Below are 18449 nucleotides of genomic sequence, written 5' to 3' on the forward strand. Positions count from 1 at the left end.
GGAATGAGAGAGAATGCAAGAGCGAGCAAAGGAGAGAAAAGGTAATAGTTTAACCAGGGCAAGTTGGAATGCGCATGTATCAGAATTGGGGTTAAAGTCCGGCATCAGGATCTCGGAGTGAAGACTGCCAAAAATCATTTGCCAGGAGGTGAGCTCAGACATGAGACTCTGCCTCTAGACTCTAGGCAGAGAAGTCTTCCCAACATTCCTATCTCAGCCCATCAACCCGTCTTCACTCCTCACCTGCATTCATGTCTATGAGTTGCTCTCTCTTCTGCTGCTTCTCTAGCCGCTCCTTCTCTGCCTTCTCCTTGGCTAGTTTTGCTCGCCTCATCTTTTCTTCTGTCTCCCGCCGCTTCTGGTTCTCCTTGACTGCTTGCTGGGGCAGGGAAGAGGAGGAAGGAACACATGGGCATTGTATACCTACTACCAGCCAACAGGAACCCAGGGGAAAGTGAGAAATGCCCACAAAAGATTCAGTCAGCAAGTATCCCTTGCTCACCAAAAACATATTCCGAAAATTGTGAAGATCCATGAAAAATTCTTCAACAGACAACTTCTTGGGGTCAAAGAGGAAGTACTCGCCCAGCTCCTTATAGAGGGTCTCCATGTTAGAATGCATCATCCGCAGCTTGTTATACTGTTCCTGTGCATCCTTCACAAAGCTGTGCAGCCAAGGAGTAAAGGACCAAGACCAAGACCAAGAAGCAGACCCACTTCTCTAGCCCAAGGAATTACTCAAAGATGAGTACTGGCATGCAAAGGGATGTTCAATACAGCACTGTTTATAACAGCAAAAACCAAAGCCATGTAGGTACCCCTAAATAGGGGAATAGTAAACCATGAACTATGGTACACCTATAAAAAAAGAAGGTGGCAGTTTAAACTGTTGTTTGTTTGTTTGTTTGTGTTTGTTTGTTTGAGACAGGGTTTTGTTCTATCGCCGGGCAGGAGTGCAGTGGCGCGATCTTGGCTCATTGCAACCTCCACCTCCTGGGTTCAAGCAATTCTCCTGCCTCAGCCTCCCAAGTAGCTGGAACTACAGGCGCGCACCATCACGCCCAGCTGATTTTTTTGTATTTTTAGTAGAGATGGGGTTTCACCATGCTGACCAGGATGGTCTCCATCTCTTGACCTAAAAGGAGGTTTTCTATAAATACTATTATGGAAACATGGCCAAGACATATGTGCAAAACACAATACAATGCAGTTTTTGTTTAAAATAAATGTATGAGGTGCAAATCAGAATAAAGTCCAGTGGCAGTGGTTACCTCTGGGGAGGGGAAAGAGAGGGAAGCATGTGTGAGCGTGTGTAGTGGAGACGGGGTACAGGCAGGGGAGTTGGTGGGACTTTTATGGTTGATCTGCATGGTGTGCTTCTACTCCACAACAATGGAATGCTCTCAGGAACTATGCAGCCTGGGCAACAAAGTGAGACCCCATCTCTAAAGAAAAAAAGGTTACAAAAAGTTTAGCAGGGCCTGGTGGCACATGCCTGTAGTCCCAGCTACCAAGGAGGCTGAGGGGGTAAGGATCGTTTGAGTCCAAGAGGTCAAGGCTGCAGTGAGGCGTGATGGCACCACTGCACTCCAGCCTGGGTGACACAGAGAGAGCCTGTCTCAAAATACTAACAAACCCAAAAAACTATGTATTTAAAGAAAAAGAGTTTTTTAAGAGAAAAAAATTGCATACTGCCCTATCTATCCTGTTTTTCCCCCACTACAGGAAGTTTTCTTTCCCTTCCTAGGGAACAACTCCCTCCTTTCAAGAGAGGATATGGTCATTTTTTCAACAAACTTGTCTTTTTCATCTGTGGCAGCTGGGAAATTCTGAACATCACGTTCCACATCAGAAATTTGTTTCTTCATCTGATCTAGGTTCTTTTGCAAGTTTTCAGCAGAAACTAAAAAAAAAAAAAAAAAAAAAAACCATAAAAACAGACAGCAAGAGCTTACTAATAATCCCAGCCTCAACACCCCTTAGTTTCACCTTTCAGAGCATAGCTTCAGTCTATACACACATTCTGGTACTTAATAATTTTAGTTCCTTATGTACTTTAGTTGTGTCACATACTTAAGTTTTCATCTTTCCAGTGAAACTATAAATTATTTGATCATTGAACCTCCAGCCTTCACAAGGTATGCAGTACTAGGAACAGAAGAGAGACTTCATTTAATTTAACATGAATCTATGAAATCCCCTGAGATCTTGGTCTCATTTATTTTAGAGAACAGGGTTTGGGAGGAAGGAGATATACATAGAAATATAGAGGCGGGGGCAGAAATCTGTTCCAATTTCCAGTGAATGCTGCTTTTTCTTTGTCTAGTTCCAGGACAGTGAGGCCTAATTTTTGTTAATGTAGTCTATGTTTTCTTAATGAAAAGAACTATTAACCTAGACTAAAAACACCTGCCTTTCTAGCTGTTTTTTGGTGTTTGGTGTTTCCTTAGGAAGAGAAAGAGTGCTTCCTATTTCTACACATAAAGATCTCTCCTCAGCCATACGCTCTGCCCTTGTGACTTAGGCACCATGCCTAAATCCTATCTCATTTCCACTTGAAATAGTCTGAACTGAAAATGCTCTCACATCTAGACTGTGTCTTATTTCCCTCCCCATGCAGAGACTTTTGGGCTCTAGCTTCATTCCAAACTGCCCCACCTCGGCTGGCTTTCTCCACATGGGCAAGCTCGTCTGGAAACTTGAGGACATCGGGATAGTCATTCTCACACAACTCAGCCAAGAAGTGTAACAACGTCATCTTCTGATCTGTGGACTTGGTGTCTCGAAGCTTAGAGAAAGAGGAGAAACTGTTAAATCCTGACATGTCCAAGATGGCCTCCTGCCAACACTGAACTCATAGAGGCTACAGCCTTCCTTGTGTTGTCCTGCCCTACCTCTTTGGCTCACCTTACAGAGGAAGCTGATATTGAAGCCAAAAGCACCAGCATTTCTGGAGCCAGCATTCATGTAATTTCCAACAAGCAAGGTAATCTCTAGGAGATTGGAAAAGCTCTCACTCTTACGTAACTCCTCACATGCAGCAGTGACAGACACAATCTCTGGCTTGATATTCTCCACTTGCTCGCTGAATTGTAGCTTGAAGAGAATGGCATTGAGGCGAGGCCGCAGTCGGGGCACAGTGCCCATCTAGTAAAGAACACAAGCAGTTCCATTACAGTCAAAAGAGGGGGAAGTCAGAAAAAGATACACGCTTGAGCCTCCTATGGGAGGATCACAGCTCCAGAGCAGGGAGAAGAGAGAGATTAAGACAGGTTCAAAAACAGACAAGCGGCAAGGAGCATATGCCCAGGCTGCTCTCTAGAGGGGAGGGGAATACAGGAGGTGGAAAACCGCTTACTGCCACAGGCCTCACTCACCACCACGCCAAACTGCTCTGACTCAGCCAGGTCATCATATTCATCCTTCAGTTCAGAAAGCATTTTTAACTGCTCTGGCTCTGGCATTTGCTTAATGAGGTTCTGAAAGACAGAAGAGACATCTCAGCTGGAGGGGAATTCGCTAACAACTCAAGCCTAAACAACTTTTACTCTGTTGTCAGTCCCACACTCTGCTCAAGGACCATACAGAAAGAAACATATGGTGGGAGAAGAGAGGCAGCTACTGAGATGGGGGTACTTTTGCAAAATATACCAGAAGTAATCTGACCACCAGAGAAAAGGCAGTTTCTCAAAGCCAGCATTCATAAGTCAGCAATGCTGGAGGAGGATCCTCTTCATCTACACAGAGATGAGGCCAGTGCCCAGCGACACAGAAGAGCCTGCTCCAGCAGAACCACCTTACTCCTTACCTGGATCATAGACTCAGTCAGAACAGCCTCATTCACCTCCAGGATGACATTCTTAATCTCTTGATAGGGCATGCGGAAGGAACCCAAAAAGATTGCTGCCAGAAAATGAGATATTAAGACATGTTCTTCTCGGTCTGTTCCCGCTTCCAACCCATCCTGCAAACCTATGCTGGATAATCTTCCTAACAGGGCTCTTTTAGGCCAGGCACAGTGGCTCATGCCTGTAATCCCAGCACTTCGGGAGGCCAAGGTGGGCGGATCGCTTGAGCCCCAGAGTTTGAGACCAGCCTAGGCAACATGGGGAAACCTCATCTCCACAAAAAATACAAAAACTAGCCAGGCGTGGTGGTGTGCACCTGTAGTCCCAGCTGCTCGGCAGGCTGAGGTGGGAGGATCACCTGAGCCCAGGAGGTCAAGGTTGCAGTGAGCTGTGACCGCACCACTGCACTCCAGCCTGAGCAACAGAGCGAGACCCGTCTCAAAAAAGTATATATACGTCAAAGACTTTCACCCCACTCTACTTTAGTTCCCCACTCTCAGGACGTGATCCTCAAAGCTGCCTTGACCTTAAACCACCATATCCTATTCCCTAACAAATACATCCTGTTTTTTCAACTCTCCCTTTCTAATCTCTCACTTGACTCTTCAGCCTTATCAGGACCTCTCTTTCCAGTCTCCTGACCATTCTGTTTTCACTGATATATCAGTTCCACTCTGCCTTTCCTATTTCATTAGGAGCCTCTAAACCATCAGTTCATTTGCTCTCTACTATGACTCCCATTAGTATTATTACTCCTACTATTACCTTTCTTTTGCTTCCTTCTCCTTCTGGGTCCCTGGTCAGTCTAGCCATTTCATTTCTCTACTCTGACACCTAGGCTGATGCGGACTGGAGTCTATGAATTTGCAGTAGCACCAATGATAACTGGGGCCTCCGCGCTGTTAGCAATTCTCTTTGTGTGTCCCAATTCCACTTTCTCCCACCCTTCTTGGCAGGTCCTCCAACATATTCCCACTTTCCCCACTGCCCCACCACTTCCCCATTTGTTCCAGGAAGACCCTGCTCCTCTTCACTGAGAAAAATCAAAGCCACTGGTCAAATTACTTGCTCAGCTTTCTCTTATCCTACTTAAAAATAAAGCACTAGGGCTCTTGGTTAGAGCCAGACTAGAAAAGACTCAGATAAGCCTTTTGGAATCGCCTAGAAGAAAACTATACCAACATTTTCGTAAGCTTATAGGAGGCATGTGTTCATATATTTACGTCTAAGTATATATACTCCCATGTACTCATCCTTTCCTCATGTGTCAACAGAAGAGGCAGCCCCACAGACCTTTCCCTTCATCATATATACATAATCAAGTTTTTTAAATCTTACTCAATGTTCCTCTCTAAATTACCAGTTTCTCTTTCTTTCACTTTATAGCAATCTAAACTAGCCTATTCTCTCTCACTTCCACGACTCTGATTTATTCCATAACCACAAAGCCAATGAAAAGATGGCAGCCACTTAGAGAATATACTTTAAGTAAGACACCAACCTGCTACCTCTCACATCCACCTCCCCGAAAAGACAATCTGTTCCTGCTGAATTTTCCTATTTCAGTAAATGGTACCACTTTCCGCAGAGTGACCTAAACCTCAAAGCACCTTCTCCTTTATCCCAAGTCAATCACTAAATTCCATTAATTTTACCTTCTCTCTCTCTCTCTCTTTTTTTTTTTTGAGACAGCATCTCACTCTGTTGCCCAAGCTAGAGTGCAGCAGTGCAGTCATAGCTCATGGCAGCCTGGACCTCCCAGCCTCAAGCAATCCTCCACCCACCTCAGTCTCCCAAGTGGCTGGGACTATAGGCATGCGGCACCACATCTGGCTAGTTTTTTATTTTAATTTATTTATTGCTTGAGATGAGTCTCACTCTGTCACCCAGGCTGGTGTGCAACGGCATGGTGTTGGCTCACTGCAACCTCCGCTTCCCGGGTTCAAGCGATTCTCCTGCCTCAGCCCCATGAGTAGCTGGGATTATAGGCGTGCTCCACCATGCCCAGCTAATTTTTCTATTTTTAGTAGAGACAGCATTTTGCCATGTTGACCAGGCTCGTCTCGAACTCCTGACCTCCAGTGATCCACCTGCCTCAGCCTCCCAAAGTGCTGGGATTACAGCCATGAGCCACTGCACCTAGCCTAATTCTACCATCTTAATATCCTCTCCCTCTCTTATTCTCATCACCTTAGTTTCAGGCCCTGATCACATCTCACCTAGTTTAAAACAATGACATAACTCATCTCTGCCTATAGTCTCCCCTTACCTTAGCAATCCAGCCTCAAAATCACTGCCAAAGCAGCCTTCCTAAAAATTACACAGGATAAAAAGCAATCCAGCCTCAAAATCACTGCCAAAGCAGCCTTCCTAAAAATTACACAGGATAATCTCACTCATTTTCCTGATTTAAACTTTACTCAGTTGTACTCAACTACTTGCAGTTCCTGAACTGCACAATGTTATCTCATGCTCTCATACATGCTGATCCCTCTCCTGAAACAAGCCAACCTTCCCGCCTTCACTTAATTTTTTGGTTTTTTTTTTTGAGACGGGTCTTACTCTGTTGCCCAGGCTGCAGTGCAGTGGTGCAATCACAGCTCACTGCAACCTCAAATTCCTGGGCTCAAGTGATCCTTCTGCCTTAGCCTCCTGAGTAGTTGACTACTGGCACACGCCACTGTGCTCAGCTAGTATTTTATGTTTTGTAGAGACAGGGGTCTTGCTTTGTTTCCCAGGCTGGTCTTGAACTCTTGGTCTCAAGCAATCTTCCCACCTCAGCTTCCTGCTGGGATTACAGGAATGTGCCACCATGCCCAGCCTCCTTAATTCCTTAATTGGTCTTTCAACTCAGTTTAAGTAGTACCTCCTTTAGAATATCTTCTGGGATTTGCCCCTCCAACACTGCCCCCACTTGATTTAGATCCCTCCCTTCCTAGTACTCTCATAAACATTCTAGCATACCTCCATCATAGCATTTATTAATCTGCACTGTTATCATCTGCCTTTCTGTCTTTACCAAATACGTGGCTCATGCAGACAGGGACTATTGTCTTATTCAGCTTTGTATCATTAGCACATGAGAGACATTTAATCACTAAATTCCATCTTCCAGACCATCCTATCCTATACTACTCTCAATTTTCTTTTCTTAAATTCTGTTTTCCATATCAATATCATAACACTAGAAATCATAATGTACTACACCATTGTCTTTCTTGTATCATTTTTTAAACCAATTACTCATGTCTTATGTTCCTAGAGATACTCTTGGGAAGAGGAACTGACTCACAATACTTTAATCTCCATAAGACTTCACCACAGACACTATGTAGTAATAGTTATTGACAATAATTTAAGATTATATAATCAAGAATAATGTGACAGTTTACTGGTCTCATTGTATCACTGACTTTACTTATGGGTATGTGTACTTATTGGCTGTGTGATCTGGGCACTTCGCATCATTTAAACTTTGGTTTTCTCATTTGGATAAACAGGGACAATAACTGCATCACAAGACTATGAGTGGGTTTTACGGAAAATACCCTTTCATCTCTGGAACACATGCCTAATAGAGCCTATAACATAGCAGACCCTGAAATATTTGTCAAATAAATATTTAAGTCTATATTTCTTGGTATGAAGTAGGTAGATGAGTAATTAAAAAGAACAAAAATTTAACATTTGTCCTGATCATCAAATAAGTACTACCTATATCAACTTTGCAGAGGAATTTCTCATTTGAAATTTTGCTACCAAAGAGTTACGAGTATACGTGGAAACTTCAGAACAGAACCCTTCTCTGGAGTTACTGATCCTACTCTGAGAAGTACAAAATTTACCTTAGTTATTTTAAATCACAAAGTAATTTTAAATTTAATTGAAGCCAAGCTAGTACCTTTACTTATCAGAAAGTGAAAGCTGGGCATGGTAGCTTACATCTGTAATCCCAACATATTGTGAGGCTGAGGTGGGCAGATCACTTGAGGCCAGGAGCTTAAGACCAGCCTGGGCAACATAGCGAGACCCCTTCTCTATTTATTTAATAAAAAAGCAAAAGTGGGAGCAAGGAAATGTCCAGTGGCTAGACCATCTGTGGTAGACTTTCTGTGAACGCAATGGACATAGTAAGAACTTTTAAATAAGAAAGTCAGAGACACAGCTGGGCAGATCACCTGAGCCCAGGAGTTTGAGACCAGCCTGAGCAACATGGCAAAACCCCATCTCTACAAAAAATTAGCTGAGCATGGTGGTGCACACCTGTAGTCTCAGCTACTTGGGAGGCTGGGGTGGAAGAATCAACTGAGCCCAGGAAGCTGAGGTGGCAGTGAGCTGTGATCGCATTATTACACCCCAGCATGGGCAACAGAGTGGTGAGACTGTGTCTCAAAAAAAAAAAAAAAAAAAAAAAAGGCTCAAATCCCAGACCTCCTTCTTACTAGCTTTATGTCTAAGCAAATTCCTAAAAGTCTTAGCTTGTTTCCTTGACATAAAACTGGATACTTAAAAATCTTGCAGTGCTATTGAAGAAATTAAACATGATACTGAAAATTCACTGTGCAATGGTTGGTATATAGCAGGAATTGAACAATTAAAGTTCCATATCAAGGGACCATAGATTCAAGAGAATTAAAAATTCTTAAAAGAATTCCTTCACATTTTGAATAGTTGGGACCAAGAGATACTCACAGAGATTCTGGGCTGTCTTTGAATCCAACACCTTTAACTCTTTTACTTTTTTCTTTTGCACAGATTTCTTTTCTTCTCCACCTTCTTGATCCTTCTTGGCTAGCAGGGAAAAGATTAGAAAAGCATGATTAAAAGTAAGCCACCTCTGTGCTTTACCAAGCAACTACTGTCCAGCGTGAAATGGCCCCTCACTTCCTCTCTATTATAATGGTCTATTGTATTCCTTCAAAACTAACCTCCTCTTCAACCAACCACCCTTTTATTACTGAACCTCCCCCAACTCTAATAAATATCTCATTTTCATTTCTTCAATATTTATCAGTAATGCTTTCCTACCTACATCCTATCTACTTGCAGGGATCAGCAAGCTGCCTGTAAAGGACCAGATAGTAACTATTTTAGGCTTTGCAGGCCATATGGTCTCAATTATTCAACTCTGCCACTGTAGCATGAAAGCAGGCACAGACAATACATAAATGAATGGGCATGGTTGTGTTCCATTAAAACTTGATTCACAAGAACAGTTGGTTAGTAGTAGTTCAGCAGTCCCCTTCCACCATGTTATCCTTCCTTTTGTGCCTATTTAAAAATCCAACTTATCTTTCAAGCTCCATCTTTTTTGTTTGTTTTTTGAGACAGCATCTCACTGTGTCACCCAGGTTGGACTGCAGTGGCGCAATCATGGCTCACTTGCAGCCTTGACCTCTTGGGCTCAGATAATTCTCCCACTTCAGGGTCCCAAGGAGCTGGGACTACAGGTGCAGGCCACCACGCCCGGCTAATTTTTTTATTTTTTGTGGAGATGAGGTTTCACCATATTGCCCAGGCTGGCCTCAAACTCCTGGGATCAAGCAATCTGCCTGCCTCAGCCTCCCAAACTGCTAGGAGTACAGGCATGAGCCACTGTTGCCCTACCTTAAGCTCCATCTTGAACATGACTTTCTCTAAAAAAATTTTGTTTTCTCAACTGCCTATGATTGAGGTAAAATATACTTCTGCCTTCTGCATTCTTTTCAGACTATCCAAAGCCATCATATTCTTCCCTTCTCATGAAACGTTCCCTGATAAATGATACTCACTCTCTGCTTTGATAAACTTATTTTCATGGTATTTGTTATCTATATCTCATCCAACAATTAATTATTCAATGTTTTGTGACATTGCATACGTATTATCTTGATCTTTTTAAAGCCTCTGTTATTTAATAAGTGTGGATATTTCTCATCCCACCTAGATTTTGAACTTCAAGGGCATGGGCAAAACAGTATTTCATTGTATCACTCCCTTAATGGCTCTCATGATAGTAACATTCTCTAAAAAATGGTTGATGCTGGCTATCCAAGGAGGGTTGAGCAATACATAGGAAAAAACCAAGTAACTATTCTGGACAGATATAATTGTAAAATACTTTGTACTATAGTGTAACTTGGTATCAAATTTTCAGAAAGTCATATGGGAATATCCCCGAAAGGAGAGTCGAGAAGCTGACAAAGCTAGCTGCCTCTGAGCAGAGGAATGGGGTGTTTGAACACGACAGTGGGAGGAATACTTTTGAACACAACCTTTTTATACCATTTGAATTTTAAACCACATGAAAAGTATTACCTGGTACAAATAAACAAGAATTAAAACAAAAAAGTTACATACAAAAGGTACAAAGAACTATAAAACACATTCACTCTTGGCTGGGCACAGTGGCTCACACCTGTAATCCCAGCACTTTGGAAGGCTGAGGTGGGCAGATCACTTGAGCTCAGGAGTTTGAGACCAACCTGACCAACATGGCAAAACCCTGTCTCTATAAAAAAAGTTCAAAAATTAGCCGGGCATGGTGGCGCGCACCTGTAGTCCCTGCTACTCAGGAGGTTGACGTGGGAAAATCACCTGAGCCCAGGAGATTGAGGCTGCAGTGAGCTGTGATGGTGCCACTGCACTCCAGCCTGGATGACACAGTAAGAACCTGTCTCAAAAAAATTCACTGTTTTGGAGCTCAGTAGTCCCAGTTTGAGGAAGAAAAATACTAAATACACAAAGATTAATTATCTCAATAAATATTTATTGAGTACCTATATGTGCCAGGCTCCATTCTGGGCAATGGAAATAAAAGAAGTGAACAAAATAGAGAAAGATTCTTGCCTTCATGGAACTTACGTCCTAACAAAAATAAATAAACTAGACCATTTAATAGATAAAATAGTATACTATATTATCATAGCTGCTGTGAAAAGAAAAACAGGGAAAAGGATGGGGGATTTGATGACGGGGGCAGTTTACAATTTTAGAGGGATGGTCAGGGAAGATCTCACTGTAAGTGACATCTGAGTAAAGACCTCTTAGAAAGTGAGGGAGCAAGCCACATAAACATCCAGGGGAAAGGGGCAAAAGCATTCCAGGCAGAGGCAATAACAAATGCAAAGGCCTGAGATAGAGCATGTTGGATGTGTTGTTGAAGGAGGAGCAAAAACGTCACTAAGGCTAAAAGTAGATGCAATGAAGGGAAGAGCAGGAGATGAAGTGAGAGAAGTAGGTAAAGACAGATCACATAAAAAAATAGGCCTGGCATGGTGGCTCATGCCTATAATCCAAGCACTTTAGGAGGCCTAGGTGGGAGGGTCACTTGAGTCCAGGTGTTTGAGACAAGCTTGGGCAACATAGTGAGACCCTGTCTCCATTTAAAAAAAAATTTAGCTGGGCATGGTGGCACATGCCTGTAGTCCCAGCTACTTAGGAGGCTGAAGTAGGAGGATCACTGGAGCCCAGGAGGTTGAGGCTGCAGTGAGCCATGACTGTGCCACTGCACTCCAGCCTGGATGACAGAGAGAGTCCCTAGTCTCCAAAAAACGAAAATCATATAAAAAATGAAAATTGGCCAGACGCGGTGGCTCATGCTTGTAATCCCAGCACTTTGGGAGGCTGAGGCGGGCGGATCACCTGAAGTCGGGAGTTCGAGACCAGCCTGACCAACATGAAGAAACCCTGTCTCTACTAAAAATACAAAATTAGCCGGGTGTGGTGGCACATGCCTGTAATCCCAGCTACTAGGGAGGCTGAGGCAGGAAAATCGCTTGAACCTGGGAGGCAGAGGTTGTGGTGAGCTGAGATCGCGCCATTGCACTGCAGCCTGGGCAAAAAGAGCAAAACTCCGTCTCAAAAAAAAAAAAAAAAAAAAAAAAAAGGGATGAAAATGTCATTTTTGTGGAAGATATGACTATATATAGCAATTCAAGACAACCCAAGGAAGAACTACAAGAATTAATCATTCAGTAAGGTTGACAGATAAAAGACAAGCATATGCACTTCCAGTTCCACCAAAATGGAGTAGCTTCATGTAGAGGAAATACTTAAGACAGTTATATTTAAAAAGTGAGGAGGGCAAAGAGACTTAAATGGAAAAAAAAGTTGCTACACTTCACTCAACCTGGTAAAACACTGGGATAGGTTATGTATTAGACTGGGATAGGTTATATACGTATATTGTAATACCTACAACAACATCTAAGAAAACTATATAAAGCAATACACTCAAACACTGCAAATAAATCAAAATAGAATCTTTGTTTTTGAGGGGTTTTCTTGAGACAGGGTCTCATTTGGTCACCCAGGCTGGAGTGCAGTGGCTCAATCATGGTTCACTGCATCCTCAACCTCCTGAGCTCAAGCAATTCTCCCATCTCAGCTTCCCAGGTAGCTGAGACTACAGGCATGAGCCACCATGCCTGGCTGTTTTTTTGTTTTTTTTTTTTTGAGACAGAGTCTCGCTCTGTCACCCAGGCTGGAGTGCAGTGGCGCAATCTTGGCTCACTGCAAGCTCCGCCTCCTGGGTTCACGCCATTCTCCTGCCTCAGCCTCCTGAGTAGCTGGGATTACAGGCACCCACCACCACACTTGGCTAATTTTTTGTATTTTTAGTAGAGACAGGGTTTCACTGTGTTAGCCAGGATGGTATCAATCTCCTGACCTCGTGATCTGCCCGCCTCGGCCTCCCAAAGAGCTGGGATTACAGGCGTGAGCCACTTCGCTCGGCTTTTTGTTTTTTGAGACGGAGTCTCGCTCTGTCTCCCAGGCTGGAGTGCAGTGGCACAATCTCGGCTCACTGCAAACTCCGCCTCCCAGGTTCACACCATTCTCCTGCCTCAGCATCCCAAGTAACTGGGATTATAGGTACCCACCACCATGCAACCTCCGCCTCCTGGGTTCAGGTGATTCTCCTGCCTCAGCGTCCCGAGTAACTGGGATTACGGGAACCCACCACCATGCCTGGCTAATTTTTGTATTTTTAGTAGAGACGGGGTTTCACCATGTTGGCCAGGCTGGTCTCGAACTCCTGACTTCAGGTGATCCACCTGCCTCAGCCTCCCAAAGTGCTGGGATAACAGGCGTGAGCCACCGTGCCCAGCCCACCTGGCTAACATTTATATTTCTTGTAGAGACACAGTTTCGCCACTTTGCCCAGGCTGGGCTGGGCTCAAGCAATCCACCAACCTCAGCTTCCCAAAGTGCTGGGATTATAGACATGAGCCACCACACCCAGTCAATAGTTTTTCATTAAAGATTTTTGCTACCAAATTCATAAAAAATATTGCTCTATAGTTTTTTCTTATGATGTCATTGTCTGATTTTGCCATCAGGGTAATACTAGCCTCATAAAATGAGATGTGAGCCAGGCGTGGTGGCTCACGCCTGTAATCCCAGCACTTAAGGAGGCTGAGGCAGGCAGATCACTTGAGGCCAGGAATTCGAGACCAGCTTGACCAACATGGTGAAACCCTGTCTCTACTAAAAATATTAAAAAATTATCTAGGCATGGTGGCGCACACCTGTAATCCTAGCTATTTGGGAGGCTGAGGCATGAGAATCACTTAAACCCAGGAGGCGGAGGTTGCAGTGAGTGGAGATTGCCCCAGTGCACTCCAGCCTGGGCAACAGAGCAAGACCATGTGTCAAAAAAAAAAAAGAGTTGTCAAATATTCTATTTCTTGGAAGAGTTTGCAAAGAATTAGTGTTAATTGTATTAATTCTTCATTAAATGTTGGGTGGAATTCAGCAGTGAAGATATCTGGGCCTTTTCTTTTTGGGTAGTTTTGTTTTTTTTTTTGTTTTTTTTTTTTGGTATTTTTAGTAGAGACAGGGTTTCACCATGTTGGCCAGGATGGTCTTGATCTCCTGACCTTGTGATCCGCCCACCTCGGCCTCCCAAAGTGCTGGGATTACAGGCGTGAGCCACCGTGCCCCCAGCCTTTTTTGGGTAGTTTTTGACTAATGATTCAATCTCCTCACATGTTACAGATCTATTCAGATTGTTTATTTTTTCTTGCGTCAGTTTTGGTAGTTTGTATATTTCTGGGAACTTGCCATTTCATCTGGGTTATCTAATTTGTTGGTGAACAGTTGTTCACGGTATTCTTTGTAATCCTCTTTATTTTATTTCTGGAAGTTTGGTAGTAATGTCTACTCTTTCATTCTGATTCAAGTCTCTCTTTTTCTTGGTCAATCTGGCTAAAGTTTTATGAATTTTGTTATCTTTTTAAATAATAAGCTTTTGGTTTCACTGATTGTCTCTATTTTTTTTTTCTATTCTCTATTTTGTTAATTTCCTCCCTAATTTCTATTATTTCTTTCCTTCTGCTTGCTTTAGATTTAGTTTGCTCTTCTCTTTCTAGTGTCTTAAGGTTGAAGGTTAGGTTATTGATTTGAGATCATTCTTCTTCCTTACTATGGGCATTTACAGGTCTAAATTACCCTCTAACCAGTGCTTTCTGTATATCTCATAAGGCATAAGGTTGTTTTTTTTCTTTTTTTTGAGACGGAGTCTTGCTCTGTCACCCAGGCTAGAGCGCAGTGACATGATCTCAGCCCACTGCAACCTCCGCCTCCTGGGTTCAAGCAATCCTCCTGTCTCAGCCTCCTTCTCGAGTAGCTGGGATTACAGGCACATGACACCATGCCTGGCTAATTTTTTTTTTTTTTAGACGGAGTCTCGCTATATCGCCCAGGCTAGAATGAAGTGGCACAATCTCGGCTCACTGCAACCTACGCCTCCCGGGTTCAAGCGATTCTTCTGTCTGAGCCTCCCAAGTAGCTGGGACTACAGGCGCCTGCCACACGCCCAGCTAATTTTTATAGTTTTAGTAGAGACGGGGTTCCATCATACTGGCCAGGCTGGTCTCGAACTCCTGACCTCGTGATCCACCTGCCTCAGCCTCCCAAAGTGCTGGGATTACAGGCGTGAGCCACCACACCCAGCCTAAGTTTTGTATTTTTAGTAGTGATGGGGTTTCGCCATGTTGGCCAGGCTGGTCTCGAACTCCTGACCTCAGGGGATCCACTCACCTTGGCCTCCCAAAGTGCTGCGATTACAGGCATGAGCCACTGCACCTGGTCTCAGGAAAATTTTTAAACAGACATGTCACCAGCACTATCACCTATCAAAAGACGCCATTTCAGGCCCTGTGTGGTGGCTCACGCCTATAATCCCAGCACTTTGGGAGGCTGAGGTGGGCAGATCACCTGAGCTCAGGAGTTCGAGACCACCCTGGGCAACAAGGTGAAACCCCATCTCTACTAAAATACAAAAAATTAGCCTGGTGTGGTGGCACTCGCCTATGGTCCCAGCTACTCTGGAGGCTGAGGCATGAGAATCGCTTGAGCCCGGGAGGGGGAAGTTGCAATGAGCTGAGATCATGCCACTGCACTCCAGCTTGGGCTATTTCATCAAATATATGATGGCAGCAATTATAAAATACACACTATTTTATGCACCATTAAAAATGAAAGAGTCCTGCCAATGAAACTATGACATCCACTGTGAGAAACATCATGATTTCAGAGATGTTTAAAAAATCATATCAGCATTTGACAAAATTTAAAATCCTATTCATGATTTAAAACTCTAGGTAAACTTGGAATTAATGGCAACTTCCTCAACCTGATAAAGAACATTTACGAAAAATTTACAAATAACTTTATGCTTAATTGTGAAAGATTGAATTCTGAGACTCTAGAAACCAGGAACAAGGTAAAGATGTTTGCTCTCACTACTCTCTAAATTATATTTCTTTATATATACTTAAGGGCTGTGCACAGTGGCTCATGCCTGTAATCCCAGCACTTTGGGAGGCCAAGGCAGGTTGATCACTTGAAGTCAGGAGTTCGAGATCAGCCTGGCCAACATGGTGAAAGCCTGTCTCTACTAAAAACACAAAAATTAGCTGGTGGTGGTGTGTGCCTGTAATCCCAGGTACTCGGGAGGCTGAGGCATAAGAATCGCTTGAACCCGGGAGGCGGAGGTTCTAGTGAGCCAAGATTGTGCCACTGCACTCCAGCCTGGGCAACAGAGCAAGATTCTGTCTCAAAAAAAAAAAAAAAAGAAAGAAAAAGAAGAAAGAAAGAAAAAGAAATGAACAACTAGAAAGAGAAATAAAGTACCATAAGACAAAAGCAAATAAATAAATAGAAAAGAGAAAGAAACACTTCAGTTACATTTCAGTTATGTGAACAAAAGTTACGTGACCCAACTGTATGCTAAAAACCACAAAACACTGATGAGAGAAATCAAAGACCTATATAAATGGAAAGATACATGATGTTCATAGAACATAAAATTCAACATTGAAAGATGTATATTTTCCCCAAATCGATCTACAGATTCAACATATCCTTTCATCCTATTAAACGGAATCACCATGTGACCTAGCAAATCCACTCCTAAGGCATATATCCCCCAAAACCAAAAACAGCTACTCAAATGGATACAAGTACATGCACATTCATAGCAGCTCTATTCAAAATAGACAAAACGTAGAAATAGTCTAACTGTCCACCAGGCGCAGTGGCTCATGCCTGTAATCCCAGCAGTTTGGGAGGCCTTGGCAGGCGGATCATGAGATCAGGAGTTCGAGACCAGCCTGGCCAACATGGTGAAATGCCATTTCTACTAAAAATACAAAAAATTAGCTGGGCATGGTGGCGCATGCCTGTAATCCCAGCTACTCGGGAGGCTGAGGCAAGAGAATCACTTGAACCCAGGAGGCAGAGGTTGCAGTGAGCCAAGATCGTGCCACTACACTCTGGACTGGGCAACAGAGTGGGACTCTGTCTTGGGAAAAAAAAAAAAAAGAAATTGTCTGTCTGTCAATTAATGCATAAACAAACTGTGGCATATGCAATGGAATATTATTCTGCCATAAAAAGTAATGAGCTACTGATAACATGATACAATGTGGAGAATTCTCAAAAACATCATGCTAAAGTGAAAGAAGCCAGACACAAAAGTCACATATATTATTTCACTTATATGAAATATTCAGAAGAGGTAAATCTATAGAGACACACATAGACTGGTGATTGTTAGGAGCTAAAGGGATGGAGGAATGAGGAGCAACTGCTTAAAGTGTAAAGGATTTCTTTTGGGAGTGATGAAAATGTTTTGGAACTGGATAGATATGATGGTTGTACATTATGAGTATACCAAATGCCACTAAATTGCTTGCTCTAAAATGGTTAATTTTATGTTGTGTGAATTTCATCTCAATAAAATTGTTTATTGTCTTACATGTTTAAAAACTAATTCAATTGGTGAAACTTGAATATGGATTGTATATTAGATAACAGTATCCTATCAATGATAAATTTTCTAAATGTGATAATTACACTGTGATTATAGAACTTGTATTTAGAAGATGCATGCTGAAGAATTTAAGGGTAAAAGGTCATGCTGTTGGTACTTCATCTCAGTTTAGTTACAAAAAAAAAAAAAGAAAATGTTCATAGTAGCATTATTTATAATAGCCAAAAAGTGGAAACAATCCTAATGTCCATCAACTGATGAATGGAAAAAACAAAATGTGGTGTCATAAAAAGGAATGAAGTGCTAATACATGCTGCAACACGAACCTTGCAAGCATCATGATTAGTGAAAGAAGCCAGACACAAAGGGCACATACTTTATTAATTATATTGACACAACATGTCCATGACAGGCAAATCCATATGATAGTAAGTAAATTAGCAGATGCCAAGTTGGGTGGAATGGGAAGTAGGAAGTGGCTGCTAGTGGATTCAGGGTTTCTTGTAAGCGTGATAAGAATGCTGTGGAATTAGATAGTGGTAATGGCTGGACAACTTTCTGAATACAGACTATCCCTGACTTAAGATAATTCAACCTAACAATTTTTTTTAGCTTATGATGGTGCAAAAGCCATATGCATTCAGTAGAAATTGTACTTCAAATTTTGATTCAAAATTCATTATCAACATTATAAAACTGGCTTTGCGTTACATTATTTTGTCCAATTGTAAGCTAATATAAGTGTCCCGAGCATGTTTAAGGTAGGCTAGGCTAAGAAAGATGTTTGGTAAGTTAGGTGTTATTAAATGCATTCCAACTTAACAATATTTTCGACTCACAATGGCTTTCAGGACATAATTCTATTGTAAGTCAAGGAGCATCTGTACACACACAAAAAATGGGATTGTATACTTTAAAGATGAATTTTATCATATGTGAATTATATGTCAATACAATCAATAGATAAATGTATACATGCATATAGACAAGCATGCATCTATACAACGGACCATAGAACTAAATGGAAAACCTAAAACTACCAAACATCTAGAAGAGAACAGGGGAAAATCTTCACAGCTTTGAGGTGGTAATAATTTCTCAGGTAAGACACAAAAAAAAGTATAAATCGGCCGGGCGCGGTGGCTCACGCCTGTAATCCCAGCACTTTGGGAGGCTGAGGCAGACAGATCACAAGGTCAGGAGATCGAGACCATCCTGGCTAACACGGTGAAACCCTGTCTCTAGTAAAAATACAAAAAATTAGCCGGGCGTGGTGGCGGGCACCTGTAGTCCCAGCTACTCGGGAGGCTGAGGCAGGAGAATGGTGTGAAACTGGGAAGTGG

The 18449-nt window shown here is 42.6% G+C and overlaps 1 protein-coding gene across 5 annotated transcripts in view; it reads right to left on the reverse strand.

Moving 5' to 3' along the window:
• The window catches only part of DIAPH1 (diaphanous related formin 1), a 103980-nt gene that overhangs the window by 10774 nt on the left and 74757 nt on the right, over positions 1-18449 (reverse strand). For all 5 annotated transcript variants that reach the window (NM_001079812.3, NM_005219.5, NM_001314007.2 and 2 more), the window contains 8 exons: positions 8541-8639; positions 3809-3903; positions 3378-3479; positions 2908-3147; positions 2659-2788; positions 1779-1903; positions 503-667; positions 244-379 (listed from right to left, as the gene is read on the reverse strand). In NM_001079812.3, the coding sequence (NP_001073280.1) occupies positions 244-379; positions 503-667; positions 1779-1903; positions 2659-2788; positions 2908-3147; positions 3378-3479; positions 3809-3903; positions 8541-8639 (1092 nt within the window). The remainder of the gene's footprint in view (positions 1-243; positions 380-502; positions 668-1778; positions 1904-2658; positions 2789-2907; positions 3148-3377; positions 3480-3808; positions 3904-8540; positions 8640-18449) is intronic.

This window comes from Homo sapiens, chromosome 5, assembly GCF_000001405.40.
Source record: "Homo sapiens chromosome 5, GRCh38.p14 Primary Assembly".
Lineage (NCBI taxonomy): Eukaryota > Metazoa > Chordata > Mammalia > Primates > Hominidae > Homo > Homo sapiens.